Here is a 19,808-nt window from a genome sequence, read left to right as displayed (position 1 = left end):
GTTGGACTTAATTTGAGTCTCTCTTCTTCCCACAGTGAAATATCCGCTAGGAAAAGAGAAGAAGTCTATGGAGTAGATAAGCCTGCAGTTTGGAAAATGAATAGTTGGCATCAGAACAGCAGCAGGAGGCTGGGTGTGGTGGCTCACGCCTGTAATCCCAGCACTTTGGGAGGCTGAGGTGGGTGGATCACGAGGTCAGGAGTTCAAGACCAGCCTGGCCAAGATGGCGAAACCCTGTCTCTACTAAAAATACAAAAATTAGCTGGGCGTGATGGTGGGTGCCTGTAATCTCAGCTACTCGGGAGGCTGAGGCAGATAATTGCTTGAACCCAGGAGATGAAGGTTGCAGTGAGTTTGTGCCACTGCACTCCAGCCTGGGCGACAGAGTGAGACTGTCTCAAAAAAAAAAAAAAAGAAAAAAAAAAAAGAAACAACAGTAGCAGGAGCTATAGAACAGCCCTGGGTAGAACCTAAAAGACCCAAATTATCATCTCAAACTTGCATTGCACTTAAGTGGGCTGTAAATTATAAACAAAGGGTGAAAAGTTCTACTGTGGCCAAAGGTAAGCCAGACACTCTGCTAGCAGGAGTGCAGGAGTCGAGAGCCAAACGGTGCGGCTAGCAGAGTGCCCAGTGCAAAGGGGTGGGAAGGAGTGAGATTGAGAATATTAAAAAGGTACTTAGAAGAGAACTTGTAAGATTTTTACTGGCCAAATTTAAAACATGACTGAGCACTATTTTTCATACAGGCCTCCTACTAATAAGAAAAACAATTTTGAGATAACTACTTATTTGAGTTCACAGTTAATGTTCCTGATGATTAAGATCAGTTGCAAATGTTCATCTGTCAATGCTTATCTACAATGAGACTTCATGTATTCATTTCTGAAAGTGTCTTTTCAGGGTGAATGGTGCTATTGATTAGCACTAATACTAATTATTAGTACATTATATATAATTACAATGAGATATACACACACATACACACACACATATATACATATACACACACACAATGATATATAATTAATATATAATTGTACCCCAAGGGGTGCAAAGGAGATGTGTTGCCAGGTGGAGAGGCTACCGCTTGGCAGTTCTGGGAGGACTTGCTCCCTGTGCACTGTGAGGCAGGCTTTGCCTTTCAGACCTGCCTTTGGGTAGGGTTCAGATCACTTTCTAACTCTGGAATGTCCTAGAATGTAGACTGCCTGCAGGCTTCCATGTCCCCTGCTTTTCCCTGACTTAGCCTGTTGCCTCCCTGCCCTCCTGTTGGTTGTCTACCAGTAGAGAGCACTTTGTGTGCACTTGGCTGCTACATTAGTTAGGTGATCTTCAACAAGTGTTGATGGTGAGTTGCTGTGGCAGGTGCTTTTTTTGGCACTGAGGCAAAATGGTGAGTAAGATGGCTTTCAAGCGTTGTACCTTCTCGACGTGGGAAGATGACCAGTAAGCAGAAAAACAAACGAGATCACTTAAGAGAGCAACCAGGAGTGTTGGGCATCTCACAGCCATTAGCTCTGGTGTGAAGGACAAATCTAAAAGCAAGGGGACTGTGTGTTCATTTTCTGGGGTCACAAAACTAAGGAGCAAAGCCAGTATTCAAACTGCATATATTATTATCTATTGCCACAAAACCTGTTACCCTAAATGGCTTCAGACAACAATAATCATTTATTATCCATCATGGTTTTTGTGGGCTAGAAATTCAGATAGGGTACAGTGGGGAGGGTTCACCCTGCTCCACAGCATCTGGAAGATCTGAAGTCTGAGGGTTGTTGTCCAAAAGATCCTTCACTCAGCATCTAAAGGAGGTATTGGCTGTCAGCTGAGACCCCTACACATGACCTTTCCATGTGGCCTGGTATTCCTCATGACCTAATGACAGTTCCAAAGGCAAGTGGAGGCAGTTGTAGAGAGTCAGCCAGGTTTAAGCTGTATTTTTTTTTTCCCTGACAAAGCCTTGAAAGTCACGTAGCATCACTTCTGAGATATTCCACTGGTCCAAGCAGTCACAAGGCCATGCCTAGGTTCAGGAGAGGAAACACTTCACCTGTTGGTGGGATGAGCGTAAGTCACACTGTAAAGAGAACATGTGGAATGGGACAAATGTGTGTTGCAGGCTGCTTTGGTAAAAGCAGTCTGCTGCATCTGGTCTGCCTGCTGCAAAGCCAGTGTTCACTTCACTTTAACATGTTCTTTGTCCGCCCTCTGAGCTGAGCACCCTAGCCTTGTATATTTGCTGTCATACAGCCTCTTACCAGGCCCTGGATTCCTCTGGATGCTTGGGGGCCAGCTGTGATCTCACCCCAGCAGAAAATGGGAAGTGTTGAAGATGGTCCTGCCAATTGCTCCTCCCACAGTCCTTGGTAGTTTTAGGACACCCTGGATAGGCAACAGTTTGTTTATCCACTCAGGCTTTTGAAACAGATAATTCTGTGACTTTGCCCTTGAGGGAAGCTATCACTTGACATGAAGCTTACCAAAAGGTAGGCTTCATGTTAAGGGAGGCTGTCACTTGAAGGCAGGCAGAAAGGTGCTATTCATTAGCCACCTTATGGTGGGTTCATGTTAAGTGACAGCTTCCCTCAAATGGGATGCTACTCAAAATATTTAACCAGTATGGCATCCACTTACATGGCTCCCTGGAGTGTGGAAGGATATGCTGGAGACTCTCCTGGAAGGTGAGTTCAGCACCAGCAGCAGCTGTGATAGGGACATGTACTGAGGCCTGTGTGGGCTGGACACTGGGACTGATGCAGCAAAGCTAGGGAGACAGATGCAGAAGCAACGTCATGTGGCCTGCAGAGTGCATTCCCCAGGTGTGTGTAGGGAGTGTAGGAAAGAAAATCCTTTTCCTCTTCCTGTCTTAGGTTCTCCAGCCGTGGCTGTGTAAATTAGAGTGGCATAAGACAGATTAATGAGAGAAAAACAAATAGAAGTTTATTAACATTTGCTTCATGCATGTACACATGGGAGTACCCAGTGGTGAACAATGCAAAGGGGCAGTTAGAATTTGGGCTCATGGCTGGGTGTGGTGGCTCATGCCTGTAATGCCAGCACTTTGGGAGGCTGAAGCTGGGGGATCACTTCAGGTCAAGAGTTTGACACCAGCCTGGGCAACATGGTGAAACCCTGTCTCTACTAAAAATACAAAAATTAGCCGGGTGTGGTGGCAGGCACCTGTAATTCCAGCTACTCGGTAGGGTAAGGCAGGAGAATTGCTTGAACCTGGGAGGCGGAGGTTGCAGTGAGCAGAGATCGCGCCATTGCACTCCATCCTGGTTGACAGAGCGAGACTCTGACTCAAAAAAAAAAAAAAAAGAATTTGGAGCTCATATAGTTGCCCCTTGAACAACTTGGGGTTTAGGGTTACTGACCCCACACACAAACGAAAATCTGCACATAACTGTTGACTCTCTCCAAACTTAGCTACTAATAGCTTACTGTTGACTGAAAGCCTTACTAGTAGTGTAAACAGTTGATCAACACATATTTTGTATGCTATACATCTTATATATGTATTCTTATAATAAAGTAAGCTAGAGAAAAGGAAATGTTATCAAGAAAATTGTAAGGAAAATACATATAGGGTACTATACTGTATTTATTGATGCCTTAAGTTTACATCATTTACATGATGAATCGTCTGTCTGAAATGGCAGCAACCCCAGCAACAGACCTTGATCTATGGTGTATATCAAGCAATTCAACTTTTTATAGAGTCATGACTTTGCTTCTTGGGAGAACTTCCAGCATCACTGTTGGCACTTCATATGGGCCCTATGGTGTTATTTAAGGTTCACAGTATTGCTCTAGACATGATGAAATATATGCAAGAATCTTGAGAGACCACTCTTTACTGCTATACACAATTTACTGGATAGATGAACTGCTCATGCAGAGATGATTAGTGTCACTTGGCATTTTAGGCAGATACTTGCAACAGTTGAGCTCTTTGCAATAGTAAGAGGAGGTGGCTATCAAATTACAGTAGAACAGTATACACTACAGTTAATTTTATGCCGTTATGATTTAATTCTGCATCTTTTGTTAAGCTTTCTCTTGACTTTGAGTGGCTTATGTATGGTCTGTAAGTGTGTGCGTAAGTTTTGATAAATTTTATTTATTTTTTGAGACATGGTCTCACTCTGTTGCCCAGGCTGGAGTGCAGTGGCGTGATCTTGGCTCACTTCAGCCTCAACCTCCTAGGCTCAGGTGATCCTCCTACCTCAGCCTCCTGGGTAGCTGGGACTGCAGATACATGCCACCATGCCGGACAAATTTTTTGTATTTTTAGTAGAGATGGGGTTTTACCATATTGCTCGGATTGGTCATGAACTCCTGGATTCAAGCAATCTGCCCACCTAGCCTCCCTAAGTGCCTGGCCAAATTTTTGGTTTTTATAGTAGATTTGTGTATATTTTTTGGTAGTATCTACATATATTTTATACATTTATTTGTTGATGAAAAAAGTAAAATTTGTAAAATATTTGAAGAGGTTTATTCTGAGCCATTCTGAGGAGTTCCTGAGAACATGTGCCCAAGGTGGTTGGGTTACAGCTTGGTTTCATACATTTTAGGGAGCCAGAAGTTGCTGACAAAGACATAAATCAATACATGTAAGGTATATATTGGTTCAGCTCAGAAAGGCGGGACATCTCGAAGCAAGGGAGCTCACAGGTCATAGGGGGATTCAGATTTTCTGATTGCCAATTGGTTGAAAAAGTTAAGCCCTGCCTAAAGAGTTGAAGTCAGCAGAAAGAAATGCTTGAGTTAAGGGGGCGTGGAGGTGGCGTTGGGGGAGATGTTTGTGGAAGCAAAGATTCTTGTTACGTAGATGAAGCTTCCAGGCCTCAGAAAGAATAGATGGTAAATGTTTCTTATCGCACCTTAAAAGATGTCAGACTCATTAGTAAAATCCCTCCTGGATCAGAAAAAGACCTGGAAGGGGAAGGGGATTCTCTACAAAATGCAAATCCCCATGACAAGAAATGGCTTTGCAGAGTCATTTCAAAATGTCAAATAAGTATATTTTGGGGTAAAATACTTTGATTTCCTTCAGGGCCTGCTATCTGTGGTGTGATGCTGTATCAGAGTCAGGTTGGAGTTGACTATTTTATTGCTACAGAGAATCTTTTGTCAGTCTTATGATCTCTATTGTAATGTTAATGCTGGTCAGTTGTCCCTAAACTCCAGAGGAAGGAGGGTATCATTGGCATGTCTTACCTTTCTTCCTGTCAGTTAGGGGGCTTAGAATTTTATTTTTGGTTTACACATGACATACTTTTCTCTTATTTATTTATTTATTTATTTGAGATGGAGTCTTTGTCGCCCAGGTTGGAGTGCAGTGGCACCATCTCGGCTCACTGCAACCTCCGCCTCCTGAGTTTAAGCGTTTCTCCTGCCTCAGCCTCCCAAGTAGCTGAGATCACAGGTGTGTGCCACCACGCCTGGCTAATTTTTTGTATTTTTTAAGTAGAGACGGGGTTTCACCGTGTTAGCCAGGATGGTCTCGATTGCCTGACCTCGTGATTCACCTGCCTCGGCCTCCCAAAGTGCTGGGATTACAGGCGTGAGCCACCGTGCCCAGCCCTATTTATTTTTTTAATTGAGGCTGGAGTGAGGTGGTGCAATCACAGCTCACTGCAGCCTCAACCACCTGGGCTCAAGAGATCCTCCCACCTCAGCCTCCCTAGTAACTGGGACTACAGGTGCGTGCCACCATGCCCAGTTAATTTTTTTTTTTTTTGCAGAGATGGGGTTTCCCCATGTTACCCAGGCTGGTCTCCAACTCCTGAGCTCAAGCAATGCATCCATCTTGGCCTCCCAAAGTTCTGAGATTACAGGCATGTGCCACAGCACCTGGCCCATTAATTTTTCCAGTGCTTCTAAGCTATGTGGTTTGTGAGTTTTTTCAAATTGTCACAAATCTCCAAAAATTTTCAATATACTTACTGAAAAAAATCATGTGTGAGTGAATCCATGGAGTTCAAATCGTGTTGTTCTTAGCAACTGTATAACATCTTGGCTAGGTAAAGGAAAAGGAGTTTGGGGCTTCTGGGTGAGTGGTAGATGGGCAGGCAAGTTATGGGAAAGTGACCAGGAAAATATGGAACAAAGTGGTTTAGTAAGGTTTGTTATGTGGATTTAAACTGTCTTCTCCATTAGTAGAGTTGTACCTTTACAGATAGAAAAGGTTTGTTATGTAGATTTAAACTGATGTCTTCTCCATTAGTAAGAGTTGTACCTTTACAGATGTGAATTTATTTACAAAAGGAAAACTTGTATCCTGTTTTACAGCATTCACTAGTCTGATGATTTTCAATTGTTAGCTCAAAATAATCCACATGCTAAAGATAGTTTGAGGTGGCATATACTGGTACCCTTCAAGGGTGAGCGATTAATTCTGCATAGGAGGAGCCAGAAGGTTTCCCCTTCCCTGGGAGATAGAAGGATAAGACAGGGCTGGGCCCTACACATAAGCATCTATTCATGATTCGGTGAGCCCTTCAGACGTTTGAGGTTTATTTTATTTTATTATTATTTTTTTGAGATGGAGTCTCACTCTAACTCCCAGGCTGGAATGCAGTGGCGTGATCTCGGTTCACCGAAACCTCCGCCTCCTGGGTTCAAGTGGTTCTCCTACCTCAGCTTCCCAAGCAAGGGGTTTACAGGCACCTGCCACCAGCCCTGGCTATTATTATTATTATTATTATTTGTATTTTTAGTAGAGACTTTTTAATTTTTATTAGAGACTTCATATTTTTAGTAGAGACGAGGTTCTTGAATAATGTTCCTTTAAGGCTTCCAACTCACATGTCATGTTAGAATGAATAGTTAAGTGCCTGCCCTCAGGAGACCTAAATCATGTAGGTTTGAAACATCTGTAAGGGATCCTTTTTTTTTTTTTTTTTTCTGGTTGTATTCAATTCAGTAGCTTCTGTATCTTTCTGAAATAATCTCTACCTTCCTGCTTAATCATTTTGCTCCTCGGTGTAACTCCTTCCCCCACATCTCCCTATCTTAATGCACAACATGCTTATTTTTGTCTTTAGCCTTTTCTGTTATAGAACCAAACTGGGGTCTGCTTGCCTGGTGCAATAAAACCAGATACTTACACCAAGGATTGCACCAATAGAAAGAAAGGCATTTGTTGCAGGACACTACGCAGGGAGGACCAGGCAGCTAAACACTCAAGTCCTGGCCTCCCTGATGTCTTGCAGGCAAGGGTATTAGCGGCAGAATGTATCAGAGTTACATGGCATGAAAATATGTTAGCAGCTGCGAATCTGTACAGGTCTGCAGCAACCTCAATTTTTGCCTCCTCAGAAGAAAGAATCTGACTGAGGGGCATAAAGCAGAGTAAGAGACCGAAGCAAATTTTAGAACAGGAGTAAAAGTTTATTAAAAAGCTTTACAGCAGGAACAAAATAAAGTAAAGCCAACTTGGAAGGGGGCCAAGCAGGCAACTTGAGAGATCAAGTGCGTGGTTTTGACCTTGACTTAGGGTTTTATATGTTGGCAGGGTTCCAGGGTCCCTTCTCCCCTGAATCTTCCCTTGGGGTGGGCTGTCTGCATGTACAGTGGCCTGCTAGTGCTTGGGAGGGGCTGCATGCACGGTATGTTTACTGGAGTAGTATGCATGCTGACTTGAGGCATTCTTCCCTTACCAGGGAGTGTTCCTATAAGGTTATAAACCAGTTAAATGCTGTCATTTCTCCCTTAGTGCCCATGCATGAGCCCACTTGCCCAACTCCTGAGATCTTAGTTTCAGGTTTTTCTATTTATTGGGAGACTGTTTTTCCCTGGCACAGGCTGTGACCAATGATTATTTTAGAGAGACAGCTTAACAACCGCCTATCACCTGATGGTTGCCTGACATTCCTGGTGGGGAAGGAGGCCCTTTCCTGCCCTGCTCGTGTCTGACTAACTATTGTAACATGGGTTTTTAAAGGCAGGGGTAAGGCAGTGTGCAGTGGCTCACACCTGTAATCCCAGCACTTTGAGAGGCTGAGGCAGGAAGATCACTTGAACCTAGGAGTTCAAGAACAGCCTGGGCAACAAAGTGAGACCCCAACTCTACAAGAAATAAAAAAATTAGCCAAATATGGTGGCATATGCCTGTACTCCCAGCCACTCAGAAGGCTGAGGTGAGAGGATCCCTTGAATCCAGGAGGTTGAGGCTGCACTGAGCCATGATTATGCCACTGCACTCCAGCCTGGACAACACGGCAAGACCCTGTCTCAAAAAACAGGAAACAAAAAAAGGCAGGGGTAAATTTCAGAAAAGCAGAAGCTACAAGGAACATTGGAAATCAGTGCATAGAGGTTCCACATTTTTTTTTGAGATGGAGTCTTGCTCGGTTGCCCAGGCTGGAGTGCAGCTGTGTGATCTTGGCTCACTGCAAGCTCTGCCTCCCAGGATCATGCCATTCTCCTGCCTCAGCCTCCCGAGTAGCTAGGACTATAGGCACCCACCACCACGCCTGGCTAATTTTTTTTTTTGTATTTTTTGTAGAGATGGGGTTTCACCGTGTTAGCCAGGATGGTCTTGATCTGACCTCATGATCCGCCCACATTGCTTCCCAAAGGGCTGGGATTACAGCTGTGAGCCACCGTGCCCGGCCTCCACATTGGTTTTGATCTAAAAGGGTGGGATATCTTGAATCAGGGACTTACAGGTTATAGGTAGATTCAAAGATTTTTCTGGCCAGGTGTGGGTCATGCTTGTAATCCCAGCACTTTGGGAGGCCAAGGAGAGAGGATCCCTTAAGGCCAAGAGTTTGAGACCAGCCTGCGAAACATAACAAGACTCTGTATCTACACACACAAAATTTTTTTTAATTAGAGGCTGAGGCAGGAGAATTGCTTGAGCCTGGGTGGTTAAGCTGCAGTGAGCTACGACTGCAACTGCATTCTGGCCTAAGTAACAGAGCAAAAGCCTGTCTCAAACAAAAACAAAAAAACCCCAAATTTGCAATTAGTTAAGGAAGAGAACCTTTGTTTAAAAATTTGGGGTCCAGTAGAAAAATGTTAACTGCCTAGAAGGTGTTACTTTCTCCAAGCTCCTCAGGAAGAAACTTAGAACAAAGGATGATGGTTATAAAGTTCAGTCATTTTCCTGTCCTCTGAGGTCTATGCCAGCAGATTCATTTGGTGGGGTTCCGAGTTTCTGAGAGACAACGCAGAGACATATGTTAAGAGGTTATCTTTAGTTTCTATGAGGAAAGCAAACCTATTCAGAACGCTTAACTTCCTTGGCTATTGTCTTAGGCTGCTATTACCTTGTTGCTTTTCAAGTTGCTACTTATTTCTCAGAGCCAGCTAGGTGCCTGGAATTTTCCTTGAAGAAACACAGGATTTTGCTTTATTTCCATGCTTAGGAGTCCCCAAGCCCCTAAAAAGGGGGTCTTTGCATCATCTCATTTCTACACAGTCAGCAAATACTTCTTATTTTGTTTACTCTTCTGTGGTTCAAACCTCTAAGAGGCTTCCATGATCACTGCCGCTCCAAGCACTCACACACATTATTCTTTAATTCTGTATTCCTGTAGACTCTTATTTGCTCCAATTCAGTTGTGTAACTGTCATGTATGCTGGCACTATGTGCCTGACCATCCCTATTTTCACTGGACATTGTGGGGGTTGTGACTGAGTAACTTTATATTGGATTTTCTCACAGAGTATCCAATAGATGACTGTCACATGGAAACAATGAATTTAGGATAAGAGATGTTAGTCCTAAGTCCTATGTTAAACCATTTATTCAACAAAGCAGATTCTTTTAGACTGCTTTATTTAATTCTCTGTTGCATTTCCCCTAGAGTCAGTCTAGAAACGATTTTACTATATACAAACATTATAGCCTCTGGCTGTAGGGAGATGATAAACAGGAGAAAAGTGTAGACATTTCTAGGTGCCAGTAAGAGAAAGCAGATAGAGGGGGTCATGAAAAAAAGGTCTTACTACAGTGATTTGAAAAGTGGAATTAAGCTTAGCCTTACCTGTAGGGCTGAGATTATGATTATGATTATGATTATTTGAGATAGAGTCTCACTGTGTCGCCCTGGCTGGAGTGCAGTGGCATGATCTCGGCTCACTGCAACCTCCGCCTCCCAGGTTCTCCTGCCTTAGCCTCCTAAGTAGCTGGGATTACAGGAGCACGCCACCACGCCAGGCTAGTTTTTTTTTTGTATTTTTAGTAGAGACAGGGTTTCACCATGTTGGTCAGGCTGGTCTCGAACTCCTGACCTCGTGATCCGCCCGCCTTGGCCTCCTAAAGTGCTGGGATTATAGGTGTGAGCCACTGCGCCTGACTGATTAGGATTATTAAATATAAAATGGGGGCTCTACATTAAGATTAGAATATGCTCTAATAACGAGGTCAAGGAGACAATAAGATTAACACAAGGATGGCTAGGATAAAGATTAGGATTATAATAGAATTAATGTTGCTGTTCTGTGCTGATGCCAGGATAAATGTTGAATCAAAATCATTTTATGTTGGAACTAGAAATAAAACTAAGATTTTCCTTTTTCTTATTTTATCGGCGTGTACTCAAAAGGGAATTTGGTATTGCTGCCCTTGCCAGGGAAAAGCTGGGAGACAGCGTATGTGGGATTGGAACCCCAGAACCTTTTATATATTCTCTTTGGAGAGTAAGATTCATTCATTCATTCATTCATTCACTTATACATTTATAAAACTGGGTGCCAATTTTATGCAAAATTCTGGTCCTTGCCTTCTGAGAGCCTGAAATCTAGTGGGTGAACTAAGCCAGAAACACACACACAATGAACTGTAACACAACTTTTTCCAAAAGTTTTATTGTTCTGTTGTTTCTTATGCTTTGAAGTATTTGAAAAACTCTTATTTTAAGGAAGTGAAACCCCTTCGGCTGGGGGATCATTTAGATATAGTTTTAGATTGAAATGATTTCCTCAAAGCTTGTTGAGAAGTTGAAGCTTTTCACCTGGGCCTGGGAGGCATTATTTTTACCAAAAGGCAAGGTTAAGAGCAAGGAGTCTGGAGCCAGTTTTCCTGGGTTCAAATCCTGTCTTGCACATTTGCAAGTGGTAACATAAATTCTGTGTTTTAGTTTTTACCTCTGAAAAAGGATAATAATATTATCTGCTTCATAGTGTTGTTATAAGGGTTAAATAAGTCAATATGTGTAAATTGCAGGGGGTTCCTGACTTTGACCATTTTTTGACTTTATAATAATGCAAAAGAGATACATTCAGTAGAAACCGTACTTTGAGTACCAATATAACCATTCTGTTTTTTCACTTTTAGTACAGTATTCAGTAAATTACATGAGATATTCAAAACTTTATTATAAAATAGACTTTGTATTGAGGATTTTGCTGAACTGTAGGCTAATGTAAGTGTTCTGAGTATGTTTAAGGTAGGCTAGGCTAAGCTATGATGTTTGGTAGGTTAGGTGTATGAAATGCATATTCAACTTACAATATTTTCAGTATATGATAGGTTTTTTGGGAGGTAACATCATTATAAGTCAAGGAGCATCTGTACTTTAAGTGTTACTTGGGTTAACATAACAATTACATAAATGCTTATAGTATCATAACCATATCTATGTCTTTGAGCAAAGTACAGTTCGGATGACCCTGGAGCAGAAGTCTGGGATGTCACATGCAATACCATATTTGGCCGGTAGATGACACCAAGGTCCACAATGTGCCAGCCTAAACATGAAGATATTTTTGTGTCTTTTTGGCTGCTCCTTTACCTGCGATTTGTGGGCATTGTAAGAGAAGAAATAGGACTGAAGAAGCTAAGTTTCCTTTGTAAGGCTCAAGCCTGAAATACTGGGATATTTGATTATGGTGTGAAAGCAACAGTGTGTATTTGAGAGTTGCCTGACTGAAAATTATGGGGCCTGGATTTTAGTTCTGATGCTGTGGACACTGTGTGTTCTTGGGTGAGTTTCCGAACTTAGCTGGGCTTCAGCTTCCCCTTCTCTTTTGCTGTTATTTGAGGAATAAAATAGAATGAGAATACAAAACAGACATATAGTGAAGTGGGAAAAACATGAGGGAGAAGCAAAGAAGATATGGTAGGAATTAGAATTGGAGGTGAAGGAATAGTGGGGATATGGCAAGGGAGGGGAATTAAAAATGGAAGTGATAAAGGTAGGAACATGACTATGGAGGCGAAGACTTAAAGTAGAAAAAAATATAAAATATACTTGATGCCTATAATTTTTCGCATAAAGATACCTCCCTTTACTACATTTCAGTCGCTGTCTCTTGCACACATACATGCACACACACAGACATGTGGCTTTCATCCATTCCCACAATGTAATGGGTGTGAAGAAGGCAGAGGGGCAGGGAACTCAAACTTTCTGATAAAAGCACATAGAATCTCCTCTCTTTTAAAGCACATTAAGCAGCTCTCCCTCAGCTTTGTGTGAGCCCCATTTCCTTCCCCAGCAATCTCCTGAATGCCCTGGTTACCTCCTTGTTCCTCAGGGTGTATATGAGAGGGTTAAGTGAAGGAGTGCCCACTGCATAGAAGAGACCAAAGAACTTGCCCCTCTCTTGGGCATAGGGATTTTTGGGCTGGAGGTAGACAGCAATGACTGAGCTGTAGAAGAGGGTGACCACAGTGAGATGGGAGGAGCAGGTCCCAAAAGCTTTCCTCCGCCCTTTTGCAGAGTTAATCCTCAGCACTGCCCAGGTAATGGCTCCGTAAGAGACAAGGATGAGGCTGAGAGGCACAACCAAGATGAAGACACTGGCAACAGCCACCTGGATCTCATTGTAGGAGGTGTCTTCACAGGAGAGTCGAATTAGAGCTGGGACCTCACAGACAAAATCATCCACCTGCCGATCGGGGCAGAAGGGCAGGTGCAGGGTGGATGGTGTCTGGACCACTGACTCCACTAGCCCAATGACCCAGGCCACAGATGCCAGCTGCCAGCACAGGCGGGGGTGGATGATGGTGGCATAGTGGAGGGGCTGGCAGACAGCCACGTAGCGATCAAAAGCCATCACTGTCAAGAGGATGCACTCAGTTGTCCCCAGGGACAGGAAGATGAAGATCTGGACAGAGCAGTCCAGGAAGCTGATGGTCTTCTTTGGGCCCCAGAGGTTGACCAGCATTTGGGGAACACAACTCGTGGTGAAACAGAGGTCCAAGAAGGAGAGGTTGGAGAGGAAAAAGTACATTGGAGAGTGGAGCTTGGGGTCCAGCGCAGACAGCAGGATGATGAGTGTGTTGCCCACTAGGGTTAGGAGGTAGGAAGTGAGGACAACCACGAAGAGAGTCCTTTCCAGCCCTGGGTGTTCAGAGAAGCCCAGAAGGAGGAAGCCCGGTGTGGAGCTTTGGTTAACCATGGCCTGTTCTTGTTTGTACCTGGAGGGATGAGGCTGTCACTCCAGTGTGATTCAACCTGTCTTATCAAAACTCAGCCTGGGTGTTTGTGAGGTCACAGCAGGTAGGTGTTTCTCTTCTGTCTCTGCTCGCCCAGCCTCCCTTTCCAAGGCTCATCACCATCCAGCAGCTCCTTCTCATTCCCTGTTCTTCCTGGTCAAACATTGTCTAGTGAGAGTGAGGAATCCATGAATGTACTGGACAGCAGATGGATACTCACACTGGTGCCTCTGACTTCCTGGGTGAGGGCAAAGGAGGCTGATTAAAATATGCACTAATTCATTAATTCATTCATTCAGGGGAAATTTATTGAGTGCCACTATGTTCTGAATGCTGTTCTAGAGTTGTCTCTTATCTATTGGATGATCTCGTAAGGTATATTGAATGAATTTTCTGATAAGTTGTCTCTGTAGGCTCAATTATTGCTCTATTGGTTGAATGAATTTTATAGAACTCTGTACATTCCATTTATTTTGTATTTTTTCATTTGCAAGTAAGCTTATCAGAGACAGTGTTTTATCTATGAGAGAGATTTTGTTTTGTTTTAAGATATCCCTACTTATAGAGAGATCAGGTTGGTTGCCCTGGCCTTTTTAGCAACCTAAGTTTCTGAACCAACTGACTTTCAGGGAGGGGTGGAAATTGGTCCACATGCTTCGTCCTTGCCATGAGTAGCTTACAAGTAGGAGGCAAGAGTGGCCACAAGCATGTTAAAATCACCAGGGTTCACAGGAACATTATCGAAAGACTCCAAGAATCACTCTCCCTAAATCTTGTAGTCTTTCAGACACCACCAAAAAGAGAGTCCAAAATTTAAAGGCCAGTAACACCAATGTACTGGGTGAATGAGAGTAAAGGTTCTGTAGGATGACTGACCAATTTGGTTGGGTATATCAGGGAAAGCTTCCTAGAGGAGGTGACTGGACTTTTTCCTTAAAATAGAGATGTATTGGGGCATAGAAGGTCAGTTGAGGGCTGGGGGTGGGAGACTGAAGCCACTCTGGCAGGTCAGAGACAAGGACTCAGGGTCTTACAGGACCTTAGGAAGGCCATGAGGGGAGGAGATGAGATGGTGGGCCACACCACAAACGTGCCATGGAGCTCAGAGGATGGCAGGAATGTCTTCCTCTTACAGGGTCCCCATCTTGTATTAAGCTCTATCACATCTCCCTTTTTGCCAGGACTCTCTGCCATTGTCTCTGTCTTCTTCCTGTTTTTCCCATTATTCTTTTCTCACTTAAAATATATTTTTAATTTTCAAAATATTGTTACATATTTAAACAACTAGGTTAAGGAACTGAGCAAATGTTTCAAGTATCTTAGAAGCTTCTGTGTGCCCCTCCCTGATCTCTCAATTTTCTCAATTTGTCACCCCTCAAGATGTCACCACCATTCTAATTTTTTTTTTTTTTTTTTTTTTTTAGAGTCACGTTTTATAGCCCAGGCTGGAGTGCAATGGCACGATCTCTGCTCACTGCAACTTCCACCTCCTGGGCTCAAGCTATTCTCCTGCCTCAGCCTCCCAAGTAGCGGGGATTACAGGCACTCAAGACCATGCCTAGCTAATTTTTGTATTTTTAGTAGAGACGGGGTTTCGCCATGTTGGCCAGGCTGGTCTCAGACTCCTGACCTCAGGTGATCTGCCTGCCTCGGCCTCCCAAAGTGCTGGGATTACAGGCATGAGTCACTGTGCCTGGCCTCTAAATTTTTAATTATGCCTTCGCTTTCATTTTTTGAGATGTATTTAACGTACCATAAAATTCGCCCTTTTGAAGTGTGTAATTTAGTGGTTTAAAGTATATTCACAAGTTGTGCAACCAACACCATTTACTTCCAGAATATTTCATTACTCCCAAAAGAAACCTCATGCTCATTGGCTGCCGCCCCCTCCTTTGTTTTCTTTGTAATATAAAATTCTTTGCATGTAACCTTAAACAATAGCCAATTGTTTCTTATTTATCCATCATGTGTCATCCTAATTAATTTTCTACATTTCTAACTTTGTCATTATCTTGGCATTTCATTCCTTTCCTTTCTCTGCTATATCGCTGAATCTCTTTAGATTACACCTTTCTTAGTGACTGTTTCCCTTTCCCTCTTTGTTCTCTGTCTTTTCCACTCTCATTATTTTTCTCCTACTCCTTTTCCTTCTGAAATATTCATGCATTGGTCTACGCATTTATTCATTTCTTGAGCCCCAAAGTGCCAGCATTGTGTTAGGAGCTGGGGAAGGAGTTGGGAGGTCCTTTGAAAGGGGTTTATGATAGTCTAGTGACCATGAGCTACCCTTGCTGTTAGTAGCTACCATCAAAGCATGGTGATAAACAACTCCCTGAACATCTGGTTCTCACAGTGACCCTACAAAGAGATAAAATTATCCCAATTTTACCAAAAAGTGAACAGTCACAGACGGGACAAGAGACTTGTAGAAGGTTACCTAGTCAATAAGTGCTAGGACTAGGATTTTAGAGTAAGTTTAACTCCAAATCTGGTCCTCCAGTGTTGAGGATAGGCGGAAACTGATATCTCACAGCCAAAGAGCAAAGGTTCTGCTTACCTTCAATCAAATAAAAATCTCTTCTGGTACCAGCAATTCCCCATGACAGAGCTCTTAACTGGTGCCCAGCCTCCACTTGTACATCAGGAAGAAACAAAAAAATAAAAAGGAATGGGCATCCTTGAATGGGCAACTGCATCTCTGGTCACAATAGGGATTGCTAATGCTGACCATCTGGCACTTTTCTAAGCACACATGTGTGTGATGAGCTGGAGCTGGCTCAGATTATCTCTTGATTAGTAAATTTTTAGGAATTTTGTGAGACAGTTATTAAACCATCAGTGGCTTGAGACAGCCATGGCAGGAATATTTACACTATGAAAATTGGCAAACACTACAAATTAGGGCTCTCCCCATCTGCCACCAACCAAGTTGTTTATTAAACATTTACTCTACACTGCTGATTATCCTTCACAACTCTACATATTATTCTCTTCCTTCCAATATGAAGAAGTTGAAACAAAGAAATATAAATAACTTTCCCAAGGCAGTATAGTTAGTAAGCACCAGAGCTGATGTTTGAACCCAAATCTGCTAACTGTAGAGGGTTTGCACCAACCAAAGCCCACCAAATCTCTGCAGGGAGGATGAAGCCAAGGTCAGAACTTTGCCATTGAGTTCTTTGCCATCGAGTTCTTTGCCATCGAGTTCTTTGCCATTGAGTTCTTTGCCAACAATTTTCCCCCTCAGTCTAGGCAGAGGTGTGCCTCTGTTTTAGTGGCATTGGAGGTAGAAATGTTGACATGGTATGGTGGTAGAGGGATCCCACGGAGGGAAAGAGCTCATTAATTCTGCTGAGACTCTAGGGTCCATAGCCCACAGACAATTCATTAGCCACAAATTATGGTAAAAGGGGCAGGGGAATATCTATAGGAAATATGCCAACAATAGTCATCACTGTGGTAGGTAAAAGAGGTCACTCATTGCTTCTTTCTGTCAACAGGAAGAAAAAGGACAGTGTCTCTACTCCCACCTCCAGTGAGTCCCGGGCATCCTGATAGTCCTCTCAGGCTTATGATTCATCTATTCAGGACCTCAGTTTTTAAAGTTCTCAGCTTCCTCCTTTTCTATTTAGTTATTCTGAGATGGAGCACACTGTAGTAACAGAGAATTATAAAGCTCTGGGTTTGGAGAGTACTTAGAACATTTAGCCAATCTTCATATAACTGAATCGTTATGCTTCTCTTCCATTAGAAAGGGAGCCTATGAGATCAGCTAATAAATGGCATGTACTAGGTCCATGGATCTACCCAGTAGTCATTTCTGCAGTCTCTAAATCTGTAACTGGAATGCACATGCTTGGCCATTGGCAGAATCCCCACATAGTTCTTTAGTCTGTGGAGTACGAGCTACAGATTGAAGTGGAAGCCCTGAATCTACACCTCTTACCGCAAAGACAGTGAATCAAGAACAATATCACAATTCAAGGGAAATGGCTGATTGAGGCCACCTTTAAAGGGTGCGGGGGTTTGTTTCTATCATATTTCACATTTAATTCACCAGTCTGGTCACTACAAATATCAGATGCAACTTGAAAGATGACCAGACTAGCACAAACTCAACCAAGAAATAGCTGTAATTACAGCTGTTGTGCCTGATTAGCACGGTTTCAGGTCCATGTTATATGGCTATTAATCTGGTGAATAATGTGTTCTTTTCTTTTCTTTTTGAGATGGAATCTCACTGTTGCCCAGGCTGGAGTGCAATGGCATGATCTTGGCTCACTGCAACCTCCCCCTCCCGGGTTCGAGCGATTCTCCTGCCTCAGCCTCCTGAGTAGCTGGGACTACAGGCAAATGCCACCACGCCTGGCTAATTTTTGTATTTTTAGTAGAGACAGGGTTTCACCATATTGATCAGACTGGTCTTTAACTCCTGACCTCGTGATCTGCCTGCCTCAGCCTCCCAAAATGCTGGGATTACAGACGTGAGCCACCGTGCCTGGCTGAATGTGTTCTTTTCAAATACTATCAGGAAGAAAGACCAAAGGCAGTTTGAATTTACAGGTATGGATATAAGTGTACATTTACATTTACATTTTTGCTTCAGTACCATGTTAAAACTCTCCCGTCATAATAGGGTCCAATGGGACATGGATGTGCTGCAAGTCCAGGCAAAAAAGCCTTGATTTACATCATTTGCTGATTTCTGCAGTGTAAATATTCTCACCATGGCCAATTTTAAACTGTCAATGTGAGATTACTGAAAATGCAGAGTTGTAGAGAAATGTATGGTAACACACCATTACACAGAATAATTTATAATACAGAGGGTTTTTTTTTGTTTGTTTGTTTTTGAGGAATAAACAAACAGTCTTTATTAGGCTCAGACCAGAAGTCCATGGATCTTGAGGAGACCTGTGTGTATTTGTCAGTTTTCTTTTTCATGTTCTTTTCCACCTATTTCTGTAGCCTCATAAGCTGTTTCTTCTTCTGGTAGTGGATCTTGGCCTTCTCCTTCCTCTTCTTCAGGGTGGCTGTCACTGCCTGGTACTTCCAGCTAACTTCATAAGCTCGGTGTCCAGGCGGACAAATTTTCTTGTAGGCTTCAGACACACAAGCTTGAGGGCAGCAGGAACCACCAAAGCTTTTTCTTGTCATGGGGCGGTGGAATGCCGTCAGACACCTTGAGGTGGTTGAGGGCGGCCTGGCCTTGGTGAGTCTTGTGGGGCAGTGGGCCTTGCACCATCCACCAGAAGATGCGGCTAGGGCCGAGAAATGGCAGGGCCTCCAGAAGGTGTTCATCCGCTTGCGGAGAAAGCCCAGGTACTTCAACTTGTTTCTGTAGAACTTGCCAGAAATGTTGATGCTCTCGCATTGTACGACCACCACCTTCTGGCCTAGAGGGAAGGAAAGGGTTGGGAAGTGCTGAGGGTGCCATCTGAAGGCTCTCCCTCTACCTGTGACTGCACACAGACAGTGATGGGCACAGCAGAGTTCATGTTTAAATTAAAAGATAGCCTAATGGAAAATCACTTCTGAACCAGGAGGACCGCACCCCAGGAATGGGAGTGGCTGGCAGGTCTCAGAGCAGTGCATGGGGTTGGTCTCATGGCCATGAGACTCAAACGAAAGATGGTGATTGTTGCTCATCACCAATCCAGAATATTTTTATTATACAGACAACATTATTTAGTATCTTTATTATATAGACATAACAGATATAAATAACCAGAAGAGTATGGAAAATATGATAAGATAGTTAAATACCTAGAAAATGAAGAGCTTAGGGATTTGTTACCTATGCCTTAAAATAACTTATTTTAAAATAATAGTCATGTTTAACAACTGGTTTGCACAATTTCTGAAAATTTAACAGTTGGCTCCATGAGGCAGTATGAGCTAGCTGCATGCAGCACACCACTGGACGTGGACCTTCTGGACATTCCACAAAACATGACATCGTTCCACTGTATCAACAATATCTTATTAACCAAACAGAATGAGCCATGAGGGCAAGCATATTGGCGGCACTGGTAAGACAAATGCACTCCAGAGAGTGGGAAATACACCCTGTGAAGATTCAGCATCCTCCACATCTTTGAAGTTTTTAGACTTTGTGCCAGGACATCCCTCTAAAGTAAGAACACATTATTGCATTTCACACTTAACACCAGTAATGCAGAATTGGAAAGAGATGCACAGTAACACACTATTACACAGAAGAATTTATAATACAGAGGTGTTTTTTGGAATAAACAGTCTTTATTAGGCTCAGACCAGGAGTCCATAGGTCTTGAGGAGAACTGTGTGTATTTGTCAGTTTTCTTCTCCACGTTCTTTTCTGCCTGTTTCTGTAGCCTCATAGGCTGTTTTCTTCTTCCAGCAGTGAATCTTGGTCTTCTCC

The 19,808-nt window shown here is 43.1% G+C and overlaps 1 protein-coding gene, 1 non-coding gene and 1 pseudogene across 2 annotated transcripts, besides 1 other annotated feature; all 3 read right to left on the bottom strand.

Annotated features, from left to right (window-relative positions):
- Positions 6,007 to 6,514: an enhancer, noted in NCBI's record as "NANOG hESC enhancer chr6:29562576-29563083 (GRCh37/hg19 assembly coordinates)". NCBI's record gives its function as "activates a minimal SCP1, AML or CMV promoter by ChIP-STARR-seq in naive H9 embryonic stem cells {active_cell/tissue: H9 hESC(naive)}" and the evidence as "EXISTENCE:reporter gene assay evidence [ECO:0000049][PMID:30033119]".
- Positions 10,813 to 16,192, bottom strand: OR2H2 (olfactory receptor family 2 subfamily H member 2). Its single transcript, NM_007160.4, has 2 exons — positions 15,963 to 16,192; positions 10,813 to 13,643 (listed from the first exon to the last, which is right to left on the bottom strand). Exon 2 carries the CDS (start codon positions 13,366 to 13,368, stop codon positions 12,430 to 12,432), a length of 939 nt encoding a protein of 312 aa, NP_009091.3. The 5' UTR covers positions 13,369 to 13,643; positions 15,963 to 16,192; the 3' UTR covers positions 10,813 to 12,429.
- RPL13AP (ribosomal protein L13a pseudogene) lies at positions 18,258 to 18,805 on the bottom strand (annotated as a pseudogene).
- SNORD32B (small nucleolar RNA, C/D box 32B) lies at positions 18,985 to 19,061 on the bottom strand. The gene has a single exon (NR_003049.1). It is a non-coding gene; the product is annotated as a small nucleolar RNA, C/D box 32B (small nucleolar RNA).
- Between the last annotated feature and the right edge of the window lie 747 nt (positions 19,062 to 19,808).

The sequence above is a fragment of the Homo sapiens genome, chromosome 6 (assembly GCF_000001405.40).
Source record: "Homo sapiens chromosome 6, GRCh38.p14 Primary Assembly".
In the NCBI taxonomy this organism is placed as follows: domain Eukaryota; kingdom Metazoa; phylum Chordata; class Mammalia; order Primates; family Hominidae; genus Homo; species Homo sapiens.
The sequence above is the reverse complement of the archived record's forward strand: the minus strand, read 5'-3'. Positions and strand labels throughout refer to the sequence as shown.

Bases quoted from the DNA above. Each gene is read 5' to 3' on its own strand.
- OR2H2 (NM_007160.4), bottom strand. From the start codon at position 13,368: ATGGTTAACCAAAGCTCCACACCGGGCTTCCTCCTTCTGGGCTTCTCT.